Consider the following 22,295-nt stretch of genomic DNA (forward strand, 5'->3'; position numbering starts at 1 on the left):
ATCTTAATAAGCCCTCTAACGATTTGTGGTATAGGCTTTGTTATATCCATTTTATAGATATGTTGACAGTCCCTTGCTCAAGGTCACACAGCAATTAGAAGTAAAAGTCAAACTCTGGTGTTTTGCCTTCAAGCCCAGTTTATTAATCATAAATATAAAATACTATTAGCAATTTATTGGTGTTGTTCAAGACATTTGCATCTCGTTTAACCTTCACAACAATGCTTTGAGGTGGGTACTATTTTGCAGATGTGGAAACTAAATCCCTGCGAAGTAACATACCCTAGGTCACAGTGCTGAAAAATGGTAAAGTCAGAATCTGGGTCCTGACAGCCTGATTCCAGGAGCTTATTCTCAACAGATGGACCCACTAGGCCTAGCCTGTAAAATAAAGAGAGTTAAGGAAACTGCAAACATAAATGGACAAGAATCAAATTTGTTCCATGGGGACTTTCTGCCATTAATAAAATTTTTGCTCTTGCTTCATGTAGTAAAACTTTCTTCTTTTTCTTTGAGATCATAATGTGGAAAGCAATTGTATCTCAAATGCAGTTCATTATATTGTTTTCTGGTTTTTATCCATCTTTGAAATGTTTGAAACGTTTGTTTCTAAATTGAGAAGTCACTTAGGAATTTTAGGAATTGTGGGCAGAGCTTACGGATTTCCAGCAGTCTGTCTTTCTTCCTCCTTTGGTAGCTTTGTGCTGCCTTTTGTGGCATGAGCATAGGCTAGCGTTCCCTCTGAGCACGGATTCCACCTGCTCTCTCACCGCCCTATGACATGCCTTGTTTCATCAATTCTCACCTTCATTGTATCACATAACCTACATTGCAGAACACTCAATTTATTTTCCTTTCTTTTTTTCCTTTTTTCAAAAGGAAGAGGCTATTTGATTGGATGTGATGGCACCAGAGGCAGAAATGTGGCAAAATTTTAAATGGTGAGAAATCCATCTCAGCTACCTGGATTTTGAGAAACAAATTGTGATTTCTCGACTCACTTTGAATTGAACTGTGCAAGTTAGATGAACTAAAAAAGCTTCATTGACTTGTCTACTTGTCCGCTTGTCTCCAAGTCAGTCAAGTGTTTGTGAATGCTGCCTGTTTTCTACCCTGTATAATTATTCAAATGATTAACTTAAGGGTGAATATAAAGGTATATAAACATAAGTAGATGCCCTTGAAATAACAAAGCCCTCAGACCTTACATAAGCAGGCATTTAGAAGGTGAAAAACAAATCAGGTGTGTTGATTGTTCCTAAAGATTGTAACAGAAAGATTCTAAGCACTTACCTGGGAATATACTGTGAAGAGAGCATGTGGTCTATTGATCCAGGCATCCCTAATACCTGGCACATAGTAGGTACTCAACAGAGTAAGTGCTTAACATAGGAAGTGCTTGATAAATTTGTGTTGAATCTATAGTACTCTGTCTTTTATTGCCTAGTCATGAACTTGTCTCAACACACGTGCATACACACACACATATTAGGTTGTGAGCTCTTAGAGGAGAAGGTCTGTCTTATTCACCACTGTATTCTCTAATACAGAACCACCAAATAAGTGGCAATCATTAATGATCATCAAATTGAAGTAAATTCTATGACTTGTTTTCTTTATCTCGTTTCCCTCACCCTATCTTGTCCATTTGGCTCTCAAGCCAGAATGCCTGAAATGGCTGCATTAATCTAATCAAATATGTAAAAGCCAAGACCTTGAAATCTTTCAAATCAAGCTCTGAATTACATTTTTAAATTTACCCTGGCCATTTCATAAGTAGATTTAGCAACTAGCTAACTGCTATCCCAGGAGGGGAAAAAAAAACCCATAAGCTTAATGAATTTGGTCAGACATACAGTGTAACAGATGTCCAACATGCTGCCATGAACTTAAATCATAGATATGATGCCTCTGTTTGGCATGGCAAAATATATTAGAACTGTTTCATCAGTCACTGGGCAACTTGCTAGATGGAGGGGGAATAATCCTGAAAAATGCAGGAGCTGCTTCTAATAGCATCTAAAAGGATCCCTGGAGAAACACAGATAATCTGCTTGCAGTGATTCATCAAGTTGGTCCTTTGTTTCATTAATTTGAGTGTCAAGTGCAACCATACAATAAAGAATTGCCAAGACCTGGTAAGATTCTCCTCTGGCTGCTGCTTTTCCTGCCCTAACAACTGGTACTATTCATGCCTAAAGCACAAACTGAATAAATAGTTTCAAGGCTGGCAATGTTGGACAGTGCTTCCTATTTTGCTTTTCCTTGAAAGGCTAAATCGTGTGCTTTCTTGCCCTCTCCCAAACACGTTGCACTGATATTCATTATTGCACCAATAATTTTAACTTTCTTAATACTAAGTATGGAAGGATGCCTCATAAGATAAAAATAGTTCCTGTTGTATCATCAGTCCAGCAATAGATTAGGGAAGATTAAAAATGGATTGTAATGCCTTCTTTGGCCTTGAGAAAGCTCTTATTGTGCCCATGGTTCAGTAGGCCTGCTGATCATTTCCATCTTAATGTAATCTTTAACATTACACTGCTACAGGTGAGATGTTAAGTAATACATTAAGACAACTATTTTCACTGAGCAATTTCACAAGAAATATGTTTTTAGCTAAATTAGACATTTAACAAATGCCATTTGTAATTCAATGCAGAGGAGACAGCATCCTTAAAACAAGCTATTGATGTGACTTTCCCAACATAAAACAATACTTATGTTTTTTTAATTTTAATTGAAGTCCTGAATGTGAAACTATCGCCGTCAGTGCAGTAGACCAACGGAAAGCACCAAATACCTTAGGATTATGAAATAAGCCATATGCAGTTTTATCTCTAGCAGACAGAAATTCTTCATCCAAATTAGGAAGAATCTACAGGTCAAGTTAATCATGTAGCTGTGACGTGCTGAATGTTTTTAAAACTTTAAGATCATTTAGATGAACACTAGGAAACTCAGAGGTCAGGCAGAAATGTAAATTGTAATATTCAATGAAAATAATAAATGAAATAATTGAGATGAAATATTATCTAAAGAATGCATGAGAATAACTGAATCTGATAAAGTAAAATTAAAATTAAGAGAGAAGAGAAAATAAGAAAGTGAGCAATTGAAAAACGGAATAATAAATAATTTTTTAAGAAAAATAATTTCATCATGTATTTCTCTATGCTACGTACATAAACGCAAACGCTATAAATAGAGTTATTGACATTTGGGAGGTTGATTTGTTTTTATCAACATCGCAAAACAGAAAATTTAGGTTGCAGATTTTCACATGGCTATCACGTTCAGAATCCAATCAGGTTCTCCTTCTTTACTACTTGATGACTTCTTTAAAGATAAATAAGCCCGCGGACCAAGAAGTGGGTACACTGGCTCGGTTAACTCTCTCTCCCCAGAAATTTCACTACTGAAAAGATTATTATTTGGGGGCGGGGAAGGGGATGTAGAGGTCTTTAGGACCCAGCAGGCGGCGGCAGGCGGCAGTTGTGTAGATCGCTGAGAGACTACGAGGGTCCGGTTCAGTTTTAATTCTGTCTCTAATCTCTGCAACAGCCGCGCTTCCCGGGTCCCGCGGCTCCCGCGCGCGATCTGCCGCGGCCGGCTGCTGGGCAAAAATCAGAGCCGCCTCCGCCCCATTACCCATCATGGAAACCCTCCAGGAAAAAGTGGCCCCGGACGCGCGAGCCTGAGGATTCTGCACAAAAGAGGTGCCCAAAATGAAGACCCTGATGGTGAGTCAGTTGTGGCAACTCCACCGGGCAAAGAGGGGGATCCCCGGGCTCAGGGTCCACGGGACGCACCGTGGAGACTCCGAGACGCCTAACCCTGGGCCGCGAGGTCGCCTGTTACAAAGGGACAACTTTCTACCCGCTCCGCGTTCCCTCCCGATTCTCCAGCTCTGCCTGGCTCGGAATCCCAGAGCCAGGATGGGAACTCGGGGTTGCCTCGCCTCCTAGATCTCCGGCGAGAGGTCCGAGGGGGTGGCGGAGAGCTGCAGGAGCGATGGAGGAGTGGGCAGATTGCTCAAGGGATGGGGGTGCCCAAAAGCAACAGCCTGCCAAAAACTAAGAGGGACGGGGAGGGGGGACCTTTGCAGACTTTCTTCGTTTTCTTAGATTTCAAACTTGCAAGGATCGCAAGGATCCAGGGCCCCAGGAAAGGAGGGGTGTGAAGGACTCAAAATTCCAGCAGCTTGGCTGGGGTGGCTGCGCCAGACGGGCCCTTCCCCAAAGTGCAAACCCACCCCTGTCCTCGGCCCCGGCGCGCTCCCTCCCTCAGCCCGGGGCCGTACACCACCTGCCCTCTACCGAGAGATCTGGGCGGCGGCGGCCGAAAGCAGCGACGCGCCCGGAGCATCCCTTGCGATACGCTAGGGGACGGTGCTTTCTCTGTCCCAGTTGCGTGCGGCGGGGCTGGGGCCCAGGCCGCCCCAAATCTCCCCCACTAGAGTGACCACCGCACAGTTGTCCCCGCTGGGCGCGCTCCTCCGGTGTCTGCGCTCAGCCGCTCTCCTCTTCTCTCTCCCGCCCGCCCGCAGCGCCATGGTCTGGCAGTGTGTTTAGCGCTCACCACCATGTGCACCAGCTTGTTGCTAGTGTACAGCAGCCTCGGCGGCCAGAAGGAGCGGCCCCCGCAGCAGCAGCAGCAGCAGCAGCAACAGCAGCAGCAGGCGTCGGCCACCGGCAGCTCGCAGCCGGCGGCGGAGAGCAGCACCCAGCAGCGCCCCGGGGTCCCCGCGGGACCGCGGCCACTGGACGGATACCTCGGAGTGGCGGACCACAAGGTGACAGCATGCCCGCCAGCCCGCTCGCCACTCAGCCTGGGGATCCCGCACACCTGAGCCTTCCCCCTTTCCCGGGGCTGGGAGGCGCTGTGAGTAGGTGCCGTTCGAAGGCTGGAGGGGAGTGGACCCGCTGGGGTAGGGTGGGCTAGTTCCAACTTGGTATGAATTCTTATTTGGAGAAAGACACAAAGTTTTGTAGAAAATAGGGGTGAGGTGCGTGGACCCCAAAGCCTAATTTCCCAGCAGAAATCGGCCCTGGAACTAGAACTCCCTGATCCCCAGAATTGCAGCTGCGGATGGAGGTCCGGTTCCTGAAGCCTCGGGTTTGGCCGCCGAGTCGCTGCCTGGTGGGAGGAAACTGGGGTTGGCGCGGGTACCAGCCTGAGCGTTCCTCTGACCCGGAACCGGAGGGTGAGCGCAGCCAGCCCGCGGCCACTGCTCGGGATCCAGCGTTCCCCTCTGATCTCTCCAGCGCATTGCTTTGGGCTGAATTCTCTCAGCCCTGGGGAGTGGTGCCCAGGCAGGCATGGAAGACTTGAGGGACACACTCAGCTTCCATTGGTTTGAAACTCATCATTGTGAGCCTGTCTTCCTCTGCCTTCCGGGAAGCTGCTGCATGGGGTGGCTAATAACTAATAAGATGAATTTTTTAAAATTGGGCCTCCTTTCCCTGGAATAATAAATATCTGGTTTCAGTGTGTGAAGCCTCTGGGAGAATCCTAATCAAGTTTGCTGATTCTGAAGATATTTTAATACAGTTTAAATGTATCCGCCATTATTTGAAGCTGCTCGTATGTTTTTATTAAAACACAATTCCACTCTCTATCTGCTTTATAAAGCTAGAGGATTTCTTGAAATCTCCCAATTATTCTTTTTATTTTACTAAATTTTGTGGTTGTGAACCGAAGTAATATATAGTAGATGCTCCTTTTGTGTGCAAAGGTCACTCTAACCATGCGTGAAAAAGCCAAACTTTTTAAAAAGTGGCATTCAAAATATTGCCACACACCTGTTTAATGCATAATGCTAAGGATTTGAAAGGTATAAAAGAATTTAAGGCAGGACCCAGTCTTACGGATCTTTAAATACCTGAGGACAGAACAATATACCATGAAATGTGTGTAGATGGATAAACCAATAGATAAAAATGTGTAATAAATGCTAGATATGAACAGTACTGTAGGGGTGCAAAAATGAGAACGATGACTTCCCTGGAAAGATCAAGGAAAGCTTCTTTGAAAAAGTGGAATTTTGCAATGAGAAGAATTCAGGGAAGCAAAAAAGGAGGAATCAATTTCATTAGGAAGTGATTATTTATTTATTTATTTATTGTTGTGGCAGGAGCAGGGGTTGGGGGGTAGGGGTGTTAGTAGACTTAAAATCCAAAAGCAGAAGGCTATCAATTTTACAATTACAGCTTTTGTTTCCGCTCTTAGTTGTTGATTGATTACATGCTTTGTATCTGCATGTGCAAGCAACCGATAAGGGCTGGAGTTCTAGGAAAGTTTAGACATTAGCTTCTGACTGTAGATGGCTGTGGTGTTTATGTGTAACTGGTGTATGATGGATATACTGAGATCATGGATTTCCATGGCTATTGTTTGGTGGAAATTACTGTCTAACACTTGTGAAGCTTTGATTAATGGCAGCATCAAAAGGTAAATTTGCTGAAAGTTTTGATCAGCTTTTGGGAAGAGATTTCTAATACTTTTCTTCCTGTGTTCTTCTGCTGGACAGACACCAGCTAAGAATATTGAGAGCTTAATGCAAAGTATAATAACCTAATGCTTATGTTCAAAACAATGTTTATTGACCACAAATATGTTTGATTTCAATTTTTGTTTATCAGAGCTTTATTTTATTGAAACAAAGAACAGTCCTTTTCAATTTGGAGGGCGGGATGTTGATACCCTACATGGGAAATTGAAATGATATGTAGTAAAAGGGTTTTACAAATTGTGAAGTGCTATATGAATGATAAATATTGTGTGAAAGTCATTGGAATTCCTAGTAGAAGAAGGTCTTTGGAGATAATTATGAATATCAATGAAATTATCTCATGGAACACCAACATCTCACAAAATTCTATACCCAAAGGTTTTGAGGGAGTTCACGTCACCACAAGCAAAGGAAGAAAGGCATATCTTAAAGTCTATGTCTTCTGTTTAGACATTATCCCAATTGTCCCACTGAACTAAATGTAAACTTCTCAGAATGCCTTAACTGATTCTCTTTACCGCTACTATTTATCTGGCTGCAAATTGGGCAGAGTTCCCTTACAGATGGTCATATGAAGGTGCATGTGTAAAATGTTGTTTATGTTCTCTCCAAAAGTTCCTGTTTAATTAGGTTTATTTGATATCTTCCTATATTCTTGCATAGGCAGAGGTGGAAGACATTGTTAGAATATTGCTAGGAATTTTTTTCCAATTATGACAGGGGAGGGTAAGAAATGAAAGCCTTTCTATTCTTATTATATTGCCAGATGATACTCGATTGCTAATTTTTTTTTACCCTCACATCAGGCCTCAGGAAAATGATGGAATATGCTGGATGTGATGACCACCAAGCCATATGCTGCTGCGTATTGAATCAGAATTCCAACAGCCTTTTTTATCTGCCATTGTTTTACATAGTCTGGAGAGAGTTACAGATATTATTTAGGAAAATGTTCACACCTCCATAGCTGGAGGCCCCAAAGACTGATAAATATGTAGTGTATAAGCTCAGTTACATGATGTTGTTAACATTAACAGTTCCAAGATTAAATTCAACAGGTGGTCCTAATCCCCAGCACCTGAATTTCACAAATTACAGCCTGTCTGCAATGATGGTCTTGTCTCATATGGCTGCAGACTGAATTACTGTTGAGATTAAATCACTGTGTGCTTTTGTTGAAATATATGCTGCAAGTCAAGTCAGTGATGAGCGGCATGTGTTGAGGCTTAAAATATCACTTTTCATGGTCATATTCTCTACTTCCTCTTTCACAAACTATGTGAGCTGCAATTGTAATTTCAGTATCACTAAATGAAGGCTACATGGAGTTTCTTGTCATAATGAAGGCATTTTCTGTTTGAGTCTTTCTCTTCTTTCCCAATCCCTTTCCCCAGACCAATTCCCACAAATGTTCCACCAACTCATTTCCATCGTGTTACATGTCTGTGTCTTCAGGTACTATATCTGTATTCTAACATTACTCTCTCAGTCCCGATTTGTGGAAGCCAATGATAACAAGATTGCTTAGGTACAACTGAAGAAGCCAATTTTCATGGCTTTGGGAACCTTCTGCATTTAGAACTGTAGCCTAATGTATAACCAAGCTAACACACACACACACACACACACACACACACACACACACACACACACACACCACACACATTAAATCAAGAAATACTCAGAGGAAAGCTCCAAGTCTTATAGCAGAATGGAAGGGAACATGGAACACAGTTCAGTTTCCAGTCTGGATCTCGTCTGGGTAGATGAGGTCATTTGCCATCTGGTAGACCCTGTGAAATGAAACCGTGAGCTAATTCCCATTTCTAGAGGACAGGCTCTTATCACAGAAGGCCCACTATCACCCAGACTGCCCTTTACTGAAATGGCTTATGAAAGGGCGGTGATCAATGGGGTCTACAGCTAAGCAGCTATCTCTTTGCTTCAGAAGTAGCCCCCAGGGATGGATTTTACACATACCAATAACATACTTGTCCTTGGTTCTTTCCATTTTTAGGCACTCAGTTATTCAGACAAATCAAAATTGCTTAGTGGTAATAGTACTATTACTATTAACTGGTAACTATCTGGTTGGAGTGGTAAGACAAGTGAATGCAAGAACTGAAAAATAGTCATCCAAAACCGGAATTTGGATAAATGCCATCTAACTTATTTTAAAATTATGGGATGAGTATTCCCCTTTTAGAAAAGTATATAAATTATCAAACACAAGTTTACATAATTTATTTGACCACATTTTATGACATTTGAGTTGTGAATGAATGACTGAAATGAATGCTAATCATTTGAATCTCAAGGAAATTCAAAGTGAGCTAATTTTCAATGCTCAGGTATTATAAGATGTAATCTGCCAATGATGATGAAACCCTGTTACCACAAAGCATCAAACCCCCAAAATCAGAAAAAGAACACTATTTTGTGGGTGAGGAGTTGCAATAATGTAGTCACTTTTAACAGGATAAATGTTTTTTATAACATTTATTAAAATACTTAACCTTCCTTAAATCTGTGACAGCCAGGATAATTTTTCCAACTTCCCACATGGGTAATTTCAAGATATCACTATCCTCCTGTAAATGGCAGATGAGTTTGACCAGGCTCACTCTTAAATTCCAGGCATGCTGGCTTTCCTGCTGATCTGTGAACATTCATTCTGCCTCAGGACCTTTGCACATGCTCTTCTCTCTTCCTGGAAAGCTCTTCCCCAAGGTCTTTTGCATGGTTGATTCCTTCTGGTCATTCAGTCATCAGGTCACATGTCATCTTCTTATGGACCACATTCTTTAACTAGCCCCTCCTCAACAGTCATTCTCTGTCATATTAGCCTGTTTTATTTTCCTTATAACACTTAACAATATCTGAAATAATCTTAAAGTTTATTTGTCTATTTTCTGCCCTTCCCCCAACTAGAATCTAAGTACTGTGACAGCAATGTCTTTGTACATCTTGTTGACCAGTTTAACCCCAGGACCTACAACAATATCTAAAATTTAATGGGTACACAATAAGTATGTATGGAAAGAAAGAAGGGAGTGAAGGTGGAGGAGAGAAGGACAGACCTACTTACCTATGTCAACTTTTTTCTCTACAAGAATCATCATTGCAATCTCAAGACCCTAGTATGTCTCATTTTTCCAAAATTTGTTCTGCCCACAAAAGTAATTCTAATAACAGGGAGGAAGAGGAGGAAATGATTTAAGAGGAAAGACAAAAGAATCTTTGGGAATGAGATTTAGGGGTCCATGTTTAATAAGCTTCCTTTTTAAATATTGCACACATTAAACTTTGAGAAACACTGTTTGAAATGTTTTTAATCATCACAATGTGTAGTTCTGTAGCTAATTCATTTCTAGGTTTTTGAACTAATCATAGCCCTTGGTAAATACTTGTTGAAGGCCTAGTAGTTTCAAAATTGAGCATTCTGGAGGAAGAACACAATCCCTACCCTCAAAGAACCTTTGATCTAATCGTTGCAGAGAAAAGACAAAGAAGCAAGAAAAGTTCAATAATAAGGCAAGCACTGAATAATAATTTGAAATCAGGAAGCAATAAATCAAGGCACTGACTCTAAAAAGGAGATAATTTCTGTGATCTTTCTCCATCTATAAAACAAGTTAAATTCTATTATTACCTTAGAAGTTTGTTAAGCTTTCAAACTAATATTCCACTCTTTATTAGCCTCATATCTCTTCATGCATGTGTGCAGGGTATCCAATGAATAATTACTGAACAAATTGGATATCAAAGCAACTTCAAAGTGGCTTGATTTTAAATTCAAAATATTGTCTCTTTATGATTTTCCTCGGCATGACATAGGGTCTTCTGCACTTGTTAAGTTAAACCTTCTTGAATGTCTCTGTAACATATGGTGACCACCTTAACCAAGCTAAATCTCATAATTCATTGTACTAGTCAGGGTTCTGTAAAGAGATAAAGCTAATAGGATATTATATTATATATATGGGAGTTTATAAAGTATTAACTTACACGATCACAGCTTCCCACAATAGGCTGTCTGCAAGCTTGAGGAGCAAGGAGAGTCAGTCTAAGTCTCAAAACTGTAGAATTTAGAGTCCGATATTCAAGGGCAGGAAGCGTCCAGCATGGGAGAAAGATGTAGGCTGGGAGACTAGGCCCATCTCACCATTTCACATTTTTCTGCCTGTTTTATATTCGCTGGAAGCTGATTAGATTGTGCTCATGAGATTAAGGGTGGCTCTGCCTTCCCCAGCGCACTGACTCAAATGTTAATCCCTTTTGGCAACACCCACGAAGACACACCCAGGATTAATACTTTGTATCCTTCAATCCAATCAAGTTGACACTCAGTATTAACCATCGCAAGTCCACCCCTTGTCAACTTGAACCCAAACACATCTCCTGAGATCATACATAATCTTCAAATAAAGACAATAATGAGGTCATAATAATGCCTAACATAATAAAACTATCCTTCATACAACTGGAAACACACCAACCCCCAACCCAAATACTATTACAAAAAGTTATCAATACTTAAATGCTGATATGCAGTCAATACATCTTATGTCACATGATAAAGGAAAAGGAAACAAAATTAAGATATTTTCTTAGTACAAGTGTATACATGCACAAACGTTTTTAACAGAAGAAGGAAGAAATACTCATGACAATTACAGTCCTCGTTTCTGCAGCTGCTCAAGTAGCTAGTAATGATTACTACCTTCTTCTACTACTCATTGTCTTCCCTTTGCCTTCAGCAAGCACCTCAGCAGGTCATGGTTTTTTTTCCTGGTGGAGTGACCCAAGCCTTCATTCCTGAGGGGTCTGGGTCACTTGTAGTCCTACCTGGATTGGGCGGTTGTAATTTCCCATTGACTTTAATCACAGGGCATGGTAATAACCTAATGGACACCCTAAAGGATCTCCCGTATCCCATGCATACTCTTTCTTACCTCCGTTGTGGAGTAGTGGACTGATTTCATCTTGATAGTCTGGGTCAGTCACCCCAGCCAACACTGTAACTCCCTTCTTAGCCTGTTGACTTAAAGGTAGGAGGAACCCAAGGTGTCCAGGTGGCAATCTTAACTCTCAGTTTAATGGAATCATTGTTGTGTCTCCAGATGGCAGCGTTCCTCTCTCTGGAGCTAAGACCTCTAGGACAGCAGAACATTATGTTGCAGGAACAGGAAGCAAAACTTTTGCTAGTGGATCACTAGGGGTGATGGTGAGTGGTTCCGCTTCCACTTCCACCTCTTGATTCCTGGACCCGTGCATCCTGGCTATGGGAGAAACAGTACCATATATTGGACACTGATGCAGAGCATACATCCCTGCCACCATGGCCTTCTGGAGAACTTTGCCCCAGCCCTGCAAAGTACTGTCACCTAGTTGGCATTGTAATTGTGACTTCGAAAGGCCAGTCCACCGTTCTATAAATCCAGCTGCTTAAGGATGATGGGGAACATGGTAAGACCAGTGAATTCCATGAGCATGAGCCCACTGCCACACTACTTTAGCTGTAAAGCAAGTGCCTTGGTCAGAGGCAATTGTGTGTGGAATATCATAATGGTGGATAAGGCATTCAGTGAGTCCACGGAAGGTAGTCTTGGCAGAAGCATTGTGTGCAGGATAGGCAAACACGTATCTGGAGTAAGTGTCTATTCCAGTTAGGACAAACCTCTGCCTTTTCCATGATGGAAGAGGTCCAATATAATCAACCTGCCACCAGGTAGCTGGCTGATCACCCCAAGGAATGGTGCCATATCGAGGGCTCAGTGTTGGTCTCTGCTGCTGTCAAGTTGGGCACTCAGCAGTGGCCATAGCCATGTCAGCCTTGGTGAGTGGAATTCCATGTTGCTGAGCCCATGTGTAACCTCCATCCCTGCCACCATGGCCATTTTGTTCATGGGCCCATTGAGCAATGACAGGGGTGGCTGGGGAAAGAGGCTGAGTTGTGTCCACAGAATAGATCATTATTAAAATCCTCCTCTGCTGAAGTCACTCCATGTGAACACTCACACGGGATACAAATATCTTCACATTTTTTGACCCCTCAGATAGGTCCATCCACATACCTCTTCCTTAAATTTCTTTGTCACCAATTTTCCAGTCGTGCTTCTTCCAAGTCCCTGACCATCCAGCCAAACCATTGGCTACAGCCCATGAATCAGTATATAATCTCACATCGGACCGTTTCTCCTTCCATGCAAAGTGCACAACCACGTGCACTGCTCAAAGTTCTGCCCACTGCGAAGATTTCCCTTCACTGCTGTCCTTCAGGGATGTCCTAGAAAGGGCCATAGTGCTGCAGCTGTCCACTTTTGGGTGGTGCCTGCATAACCATGCAGAACCATCTGTGAACCAGGCCTTAGTCTTCTCGTCTCTGTCAACTGATCATAGGGAACTCCCCATGAGGCCATCTGCTGGGCTGAGGGAGAGAAGGCAGGGTGGCAAGAATGGAGACCATGGGCATTTGAGCCACTTCCTCATGTAACTAACTTGTGCCTTCAGGACCTGCTCAAGCCCGATCACGTATACACCACTTCCATTTGATGATGGGATGTTGCTGTGCAAAACCCGCTTTTTGGCTGGATGGGCCAGAAAACACTCAGTTCATGATAGGCAATTCAGTTTGCATGGTGACTTGATGACCCATAGCCAAATGATCAGTTTCCACCAAAGCCCAGTAACAGCAAAAGGAGGGTAATTATCTGCAGATGGCAGGGCCTTGCTCCAAAATCCTAGAGGCCTCTGCGGTGATTCACCTTTTGGGCTTGCCAAAGGCTCCAAATAGCATCCCTATCTGCCACTGACACCTCAAGCACCATTGGATCTGCTGGGTCATATGGCCCAAGTGGCAGAGCAGCTTGCACAGCAGCCTGAGCCTGTTGCAGAGCCTTCTCCTGTTCTGGACCCCACTCAAAACTGGCAGCCTTTCGGGTCACTTGATAAATGGGCCAGAGTGACACACTCAAATGAGGAATGTGTTGCCTCCAAAATCTAAATAGGCCCAGTAGGTGTTGCTTCTCTTTCTTCATTGTAGGAGGGCCCAAATGCAGCAACTCATCCTTCACCTTAGAAGGAATATCTCAACAGGCCCCTCACCACTGGACCCCTAGAAATTTTACTGAGGTAGAAGTTCCCTGAATTTTAGTTGGATTTATTTCCGATCCTCTGGCATGCAAATGTCTCACCAATAAGTCCAGTGTGTTTGCTACTTCTTGCTCACTGGATCCAATCAGCATGATGTCATTAATGTAATGGACCAGTGTGATATCTTGTGGGAGTGAAAAGCAATCAAGGTCTCTCTGAATAAGATTATGACACAAAGCTAGAGAGTTGATATGCCCCTGAGGCAGGACAGTAAAGGTATATTCCTGGCCTTGCCAGCTGAAGGCAAATTGCTTCTAGTGGGCCTTATGGACAGGAATGGAGAAAAAGGCATTTGCCGAATCAATGGCTACATACCAGGTATGAGGAGATGTGTTAATTTGCTCAAGCAATGAAACCACATCTGGTACAGCAGCTGCAATTGGAGTCCCCATTTTGTTAAGTTTATGATAATCCACTGTCATTCTCCAAGATCCATCTGTCTTCTGTCCAGGCGAAATGGGAGAGTTGAACAGGGATGTGGTAGGACTCACCACCTCTGCATCTTTCAAGTCCTTGATGGTGGCACTAATCTCTGCAATCCCTACAGGGATGCGATATTGTTTTTGATTTACTATATTTCTAGGTAGAGCCATCTCTAATGGCTTCCATTTGGCCTTTCCCACCATAATAGCCCTCACCCTACCAGTCAGGGAGCCAATGTAGGGGTTCTGCCAGTTACTAAGTATGTCTATGCCAGTTATGCATTCTGGCACTGGGGAAATGTCTACAGGATGAGTCTGGGGACCCACCAGACCCACTGTAAGTCAGACCTGAGCTAAAACTCCATTAATTACCTGACCTCCATAAGCCCCTACTTTAATGGGAGGACCTCAACGACATTTTAGGTACCCTGGAATCAATGTCAGCTCAGAGCCAGTGTCCAGTATCCCCAAAATGTCTGATCATTTCCCTTTCCCCAGTGCACAGGTACCCTGGTAAAAGGCTGGCGATCTCCTGGGGAAAGGATGGGAAAAAGAGTCACTGCATAAATTGTCAGTAATGTAGTGGGGTCCTTCCTCAAGGGGATCCAGGCTCCCCTTCATTCAAGGCGTTCTGGGTCTGTAAACTGGCTCAAGTCTGGAAATTTATTGAGGGGACAGGATTCTCTGTTTTTACAATTCAAATTAGTCTTTTGTCCATTTGACTTCGAAGTTTTCTGCTTGTATAAATTAAGTAGAAATGCAGTAGGCTTCTTATCAATTTCACTTCTAGGAACACCATGATTAATTAGCCAATGCCAGAGCTCTACATGAGTCAGGCTATTCTGATTGCTGCTTTGCCTCTGCTGTCCATTAAGGTAGCTATGCCCACCTTGCCTTTGACAGTTGAGTGCCATCACTTGGCCCCTGCCACCTCAGGATCCAGTTATTCCCACTGTATTTACATTTTGTAGTTGAGTGACTTGGTTCCCACTGTTAGATCTGACATACAGAGAAGACCAATTATAGGACTCTTCAAAAACATAAGTGCTGCCCTCATAAATCTATTTCACAAGGCATTGATCAAGGGTATGTCTTCTGGAACCTCCCAGCTGGGATGAGTATGTCTAAAGTGACTAATCCACTCCACCATCCCAATCTCCCTAAGCCTTTGGGTCCCTTCCTCTACATTAAACCAGGGGAGACCAGGCATTTCCAGCTCACTCACAGTGAGTCATCTTTTAATTCATATTTCATCTAACCAAGCAAATAAACTATTAGAACCTTTTTTTAACTCCCTGAGCTGCAGTATTAAAAGCAGAGTGGGCCCAAATCAATAAATTCAGCCTGATCCAACTCTATGTTCCTTCCACCATTGTCCCATACCCTTAATATGCATTCTTATGCCTGTTCTCCAGAATGCTGTTTATATAAATTAGAGAATTCAAACAGTTATTTTCAAGTGTAGCACACCTCCTATTGGGTCACACTCTCAACCTCATCTCTAGGGGTCCACTGGGACTTTAGTCTAGTTACAGGTCTAGAAGCAAACAGGGGTGTTGGGGTGGCTCCTGAGGAGAATCAACATTATTTGGCCTGGTGAGTGCCTCAGGGAGGCCATCACTGTTGCCTCAGGCAGCACAGGGTTTATGTCCTCAGACAGATGTGGAAAGGCTATGGCAGTGTGGGTCAGGGAGGAGATGTTGCCACTACTGGGGATGGGGAAGCTGTTCCTTCTGGCAAAAAAGGTCCATCAGAGTTTACAAACTCAGTATCCCCAGCTTCATTAGGGTCCTCCACACATCCCATTCCAAGTTGCAGGGTCCCATTCTTTTCCAATCAATGCCTTTAACAGTAGACACTGGGTGAGGCTGTGCATGCACCTTTTGTTGCAAGTCAGCCACTTGCACGATAAGAACTTGTGTCTGTTTTCCACAATTTCAGCTCTTTCTCTACGGGAGATAAGACTCTCACTCAGGGCAGTCTTATCAGATTTAAGGCTCAGTATCTGCTTCTGAAGCCAGGAGACAGAATCCCTGAGTTCATCATTTTCTTTCATCACTTTGTCCACTGAACTTAGGACCAACCAGCTTCATTATGTTCTTTGGTTCTCCACATATGGTCAAAGGTATTAGGTATAGTCACTAAACTCCTTGCCTCTTAGGAGCGGTGAATCAGGAGTGTCAAATGCATTTATTTTGCATAACTCTCTAAACAGTTTATGCCAAGGACTATCAGTGTTTTCCATAGTATTAGAACTAGAGTTCTTGGCATTTTGGGGTCTAATCATATTAAGCAGCCAACTTCCCCAAAACCAACAAAAGAACTCCATCCTTAATATTCAGTTCCTCTAGAACCATTCCTGCTACAAAAATCTGTATTAGTCAGCATTCTCTAGAGAGATAGAACTAATAGGACATATACACATAATACTTAATAGTTTATTAAGTATTAACTTACACAATCACAGGTTCCACAATAGGCTGTCCACAAGCTTGAGGAACAAAAAGAGCCAGTCCGAGTCTCAAAATTGAAGAACTTGGAGTCCAGTGTTCGAGGGCAGGAAGCATCCAGCATGGAAGAAAGATGTAGGCTAAGAGGCTAGGCCGGTCTTGCCAGCTTTGCTGGAAGCTGATTAGATTGTGCCCATCAGATTAAGGGTGGATCTGCCTTCCCCAGCTCACTGACTCAAATGTTAATCCCTTTTGGCACACACACACCCAGGATTAATACTTTGTATCCCCCAATCCAATCAAGTTGACACTTAGCATTAACTATCACACTCATGCTATGGTGAATGTGGATATAATTGTGTTGACCACAAGACAGAATATTTGCAGTCAGGTCTGTCTTAGAAACATGATACCTATTATAAAAGAGAATTTCCGTAACCTGTAGGGTGAAGTGTCAGTACAATTTCTGCTTTGCAAATACTAGGATTATGGAAGATTAAATGTGTGAAAGGACTTTGAAAAATTAAAACATATCATTAATCAACAAGTCATTCCTTAAAACCTCTTATTCACCTACTATATACTCTTTGGACAGCTGTGTAGGGTCTTAAGTATAGAATGACAAGGAGTGATTATCTCTTAAATAATATTGTCATCCGTATCCCAGAACTTGATCCAACGGAAGAACTCTCATGGGAGTCAGTGAATTTATGATCAAATGATTGGTAAAACTTTTGGGGGGAGGTATGTGCATTTATGAGATGTGTTCAAATTCTTCTCCATAAGCTCCGAGTCTTAAACACTTAGTCTGGGCCTGGGACAAATAAATATATTTATTGCCTGTTCTATTCAATATGTCTTTCTAAATAAAAAATCACAGGAATGCATAGTCTCAGCATAGACAGCCCATCTGCAGTGAAACCTTCCCTGACTTATAGCCCAGGTTTGATCTGAGCTGTATGTTTTGTCTTCATAGCTGAGATCCCATGACAATACTTATTCCACTTTATTGTTATTTCTTGTCTAAAATTGTCTGCCTTCCCTACTAGACAACCAGCTCTTGGAAACCAGGCATTTTTTTTTCTCTCTTTTTCTGTCATTGTAGTCCCAGCCTTTAACATAATGCCTGGCATATAATGAGTCTTCAATAAGTACTTGTTGAATGAATGAGAATATCTACATAAAGATTTTGTGTTTCTTCTAAAATAAGCCTACCTCAAGAGTTTCTAACCATTTGGAGTTACTGAAAAGGAATAGCTGCAAGTCATAAATATCAATTCCTCCTGCCACAATTTGTAGGCCTGTAACTAATTCATTTCTATCTTCTTGTACTAATCAGATCTCTTAAAGCATACTCAGGATTTCAGAGCTAGAAGGAAAACTTAAGAATTATCAAAAGGAATTCCAGAGTGGTTGTGTGATTTGCCCAAGGCCATGGGTTAGTGGCAGAGCTGGGGCAAAATGTCAGTCTCTGATGTGAACATCATTACCATAAGAGAAATTCAGTGCCAACATCTTCTAAGCAGTGACTCAACATTATTTGGACAGAATTTATTAAAATGAAGAGCCTAGGCCTACCCAGTTATTGAAAAGGAATAAATATTTAAACATCTTATTATTCTGAGATGAATATGAGAATATGCCTCTGGATAGTTAAAAAGAGTCTTCCACCAACCACCAACTTTGCAAATGGGTGTTTCAGAGACCACACATAATGCATGGTACTAATTAATTGAAACAATTTTCAAACCAGAGTAGATTTTTGCCTTTAAAACATAAACCAAGCCAAAAGGAGTGTCATGCTTAATTATCTGCATAAAATTTTCTGACCAGAGCACTCATTTAGCTGAATTACCTTCTCCACAGTGGAGAAGAAAACATCATCAGGAGACTTAGTTAACCAAGTGTTTGAAGAACTACCATTCTGCAAATATCATTGACTCCCCCCAAATTCTGAGATGTAATACTTACTCTAGGATGGAATTACTTTAGGCAAATAAGAAAGCATTTTACCTATCATAGGGAAAATTAACCCTGATCATTGCTACAGCTCTTGAAAAGGAAACTTTTTTAGTATATTCACTCTTAATGGCTAAGGAGGTGTCTGTAGAGTTCCTGGGAAACTGCACAGAGTCTGAGTATTCTCTGGCAGACTGAAATGCAGTGCCAAATAATTTTTTAATAAGAAAGCATATTCTGGAAATTAATTGCACATATGAGACATCTCCATTGACTGAACTGCAAACATGATTGCATTTCCAACTTACAGATCTTTTCATGTTCCTTGCGTGTTTCCTATGGCTTCCCATTGCCTACAGGATCAAGTTCAGACCCTCAGGAAGGCTTGCAAGGCCCAACAGGATCTTGCTGGCCTAATTCTCCAACCCTACCCCCACCACTGCCCTCAGCCTAGGCACTACGCACCCAGGGATACCGCTGCCCTCAGCCTAGGCACCACGCACCCAGGCACCGCACATACCTTGCTGTTTTGTTCTTGTCTGCTTTACCTTCAGCACCTCCTTTCTAAAGTTTTCCCAGATACAACATCTATGCAGAGTATACCCAACGTTCTCTTATGTCAGCCACACATCATTCAGTCAATCACATATTGACTGAGTAGCTACCGTGTGGTAGGCACAAGGGAGGAAACAAGATAAAGGACCTTGTCCCTACCCACAGGAAAATCAGTGGAGGAAATAAATGTTATAATTACTATACCTTGGTAAGTGCTAAAATATTCTCTGTATCTTACACATGCTTCTGATCACACAATATTGCAATCATTTTTCCACATGCAAGTCTCCCTGACTAGGTTTTACCTTTTTGAGGCTAAGAACATAACTTATCTTGGTATCCACAGAATTGAAAACTGTATCTCAGACATATGAAAGCTAAATAAATATTTGTTGAATGTTGGGTAGGCAAAGTTCTATTTTAATTGTATGTAGTATGAAGAAATTTGACCAAGTCTGGCTAATAGACTATTAATTATAGGAATGGACAGAAATGATAAGTAAGGGCAGAAGGGCTTCAGGTATCTGACATACACATCTTTAATTTCTGTTTCCCCTTTGAATACAGAGCAACATCTCCTGACCTTTCCAGAACAGCTGACCAGATGTGGAGATGCAATGATGCCCATATTTGAAAACAGTATAGTACCATGACAGGCAGGCAGGCCCAGGCTATTTATTTGTTGTGAGCTCTTTGGCATGTCATAACTTCTAGGCTTGATCCAGTTTATAGAAGAGAAAGTTAAACTATATTCATTCATTCCCTCATTTATTAAATAATATTGTGTTTCTACCATATGCCTAGCATTGTGTTCAGGACCCAGGAAGCAAGGAACAATGAATGAGATGTGATCCTCAACTCCATGAAACTTATATCTGTTGGGAGAGGGAGAAACACACATAAAATTTCAGTGCAGATTTGGAGAAGTATTATGGGCTGTGGAGATTGGATTTTATCCTGAAAGCATTGAGGAAGTCTTTAAAAGGTAAATTAGAGGAATAACTCCATCAGATATGTGTGCCAGTGGATCACCCTGGCTTCAGTGTGGCATGGGTTAAAGTAGCCATAGGTTGTAGGAAGAGGGACCAATTAGCAGACTGTTGCTTGGTTTGAGTAAGTGGCACAGCCAGAGGATGATGAAGAGACCTCAGGTTTCTGCCTGCCTTAAGTTTCTATGATTGGCCACCCTCCTGTGTCTGTGCAGACAGTCTGAATGCAGATTCTCCAACAGAAGGTTTGTGGTTCAAGATTGCCTCACAATTGCTGGTAAAGAGAGCTGAGGATGATCCCAGATGGCACTTCAACTTTCTCTAATTTTGAACCTTGCTGTGCACCTGAATACCACATACTGACTTGAGCAAAACAGTAGTGTTATTGTTAGGGCTGAAGCAAGCTGTTTGTCGAGACTCCATAATGCATATTGGTGACAACAGGAATTAAACTCTCCACCTGCAGGACAGCCAGCCAGTGGGGTGTAGAATAAGTGTGCTGGCAGAGACTTTAGTATGTAAAAGTGCCGCAGGAAAAGGGGGCAAGCTTTATTCTAGAAGAGTCCCATTCAAACCATAGCAGATAAAGATATTATAATTAGAACCAGAACCAAGAATAAATACTAGAGTAAGAAATGACACCAGTTTGCTTCTTCCCAGTATCAGAGAGTGTCTCTTTCTGGCTATATGGACATGAAATTTTGACTGGGTTCCAGAAAGGCAAGAAAGGGTGGTTTGTCATGGGCTTTTCAATGCCTACGAAGGACTCAAAGTTATTTGAGATATTACATTTGAATATGATTTGATGTGCTGTTTGATAAAAGAACATCAATGGGCAAAAGAATCACTTAGTCAAAAATAAGTTCTTCTGACTAGGACTTATGACAACTAGGGAAGAGTAGTAACCAGGCTTTTTTCTGGAATAAGAACTATGGTGTCCCTCTATGATGAGCAAGATCAGGTCCTCCAAGGAGTTATACATCGCAATACTGACTGGTCTGACAAGTAAAAGACCATTCTTAGTACCCCCACAGAGCATGCTGATGGTATCTCAATCTTTAGAAGGTTTAAAGGATGGGATGGCGCCAGACCTTACTTTATATCTCTTTCAGGGTTTTGTGCCAACCTATGAACACCAAAACTCAGCACTATTTTATGCAAACTATGCCTGTAGACCATATTTAAGAGTATGGAATGACTTCTCTCTGGAAAGAGTTTCCTCGCCTCATCCCCAGTATAACATGTCGAAAAGAAATAAGGAAGAAGAAATCCAGGATGCTAGTTTTGAAAATGAAATTTTGTTCCCTTCCCAATTTTAAATGCAGGTATACTCATTGTCTTCTCGAAATGACAAAAGGAAAAAAAAAAGAGGAAAGTTACAATTATTCATAAATCTACCAATAAAATGTAATTACTGTTGGTACATGAATGTATTTTCATACAATCAACACGTGTATACACGACATTTAAATGTACTTCCTTCTAGTTTTTTATTCATCTATGTTGGATATGTGGGGTTTATGTGTACATTGATTTAGCAGTGCACGTGATCAGTGGTTTAAAGGAGGGGATGGCTTTGCTGTTAGATCCCAGTTATAAAGACTTATCTTGTTTAATAGTTTGAAACCAAAATCTATTTCAATTAGAGTTGGAATAATTAGGAAATAGTCTTGATACTTACGCTAAATTATCCATTTACTAATCCAGAAGATATATTCATCCCTCTAGTAGCTTAAAAACCCCTTTCTTTCCCTGCTGTTTACAACCCTTAGCACTTTTCAATTGTGGCATGCTTCCATCTCTTTCATCCCCCACCTATATGCTCAGACACAGAATGTGTTCAGGCAATTTTTAAGTTTTGTAAATCATTCCCAATAGTCCCTTAATCCTTCTTGCCACTTTTCTCTAAATCCCTTTCAGTCGATCAGTAGCTACTTGGAGGGTATGGCCTGCGATAACCTGACACAGGCTTCCAGGACACTGTTAGAGGTGATCGCCATCTTCATGGGCAGTGGGGCAGTCCTTTGTACATATGCAGCCTCACGTTTGCCTTTATTTTCCCGGCTTCTGCTCCGTGATGCAATTTCCTGTCCATAAATGGTGCAGATCTAATTCCCTGACCACCATATAGTAAAGGTTTACTTTGACATATTGTCCTTCCTAAAAAGAAATTTTACTGCACAGTTATAATTATCACATTTTTCTTAATTAGCAACCTCTTCTGATTTCTTTTTCATCTTCTAGTTTTATA

The 22,295-nt window shown here is 41.8% G+C and overlaps 1 protein-coding gene across 3 annotated transcripts in view, besides 1 other annotated feature; it reads left to right on the forward strand.

Moving 5' to 3' along the window:
* Positions 1–3,532: 3,532 nt before the first annotated feature.
* Positions 3,533–22,295, forward strand: part of ST6GALNAC5 (ST6 N-acetylgalactosaminide alpha-2,6-sialyltransferase 5) — a 200,067-nt gene continuing 181,304 nt past the window's right edge. For all 3 annotated transcript variants that reach the window (NM_030965.3, NM_001320273.2, NM_001320274.2), the window contains exons 1-2: positions 3,533–3,743; positions 4,550–4,795. In NM_030965.3, coding sequence (NP_112227.1) covers positions 3,729–3,743; positions 4,550–4,795 — 261 coding nt within the window. In that variant the 5' untranslated portion in view covers positions 3,533–3,728. The remainder of the gene's footprint in view (positions 3,744–4,549; positions 4,796–22,295) is intronic.
* Positions 4,408–4,617: an enhancer, noted in NCBI's record as "active region_1212". NCBI's record gives its function as "activates an Ori minimal core promoter by ATAC-STARR-seq in GM12878 lymphoblastoid cells {active_cell/tissue: GM12878}" and the evidence as "EXISTENCE:reporter gene assay evidence [ECO:0000049][PMID:35858748]".

The sequence above is a fragment of the Homo sapiens genome, chromosome 1, assembly GCF_000001405.40.
Source record: "Homo sapiens chromosome 1, GRCh38.p14 Primary Assembly".
In the NCBI taxonomy this organism is placed as follows: Eukaryota; Metazoa; Chordata; class Mammalia; order Primates; family Hominidae; genus Homo; species Homo sapiens.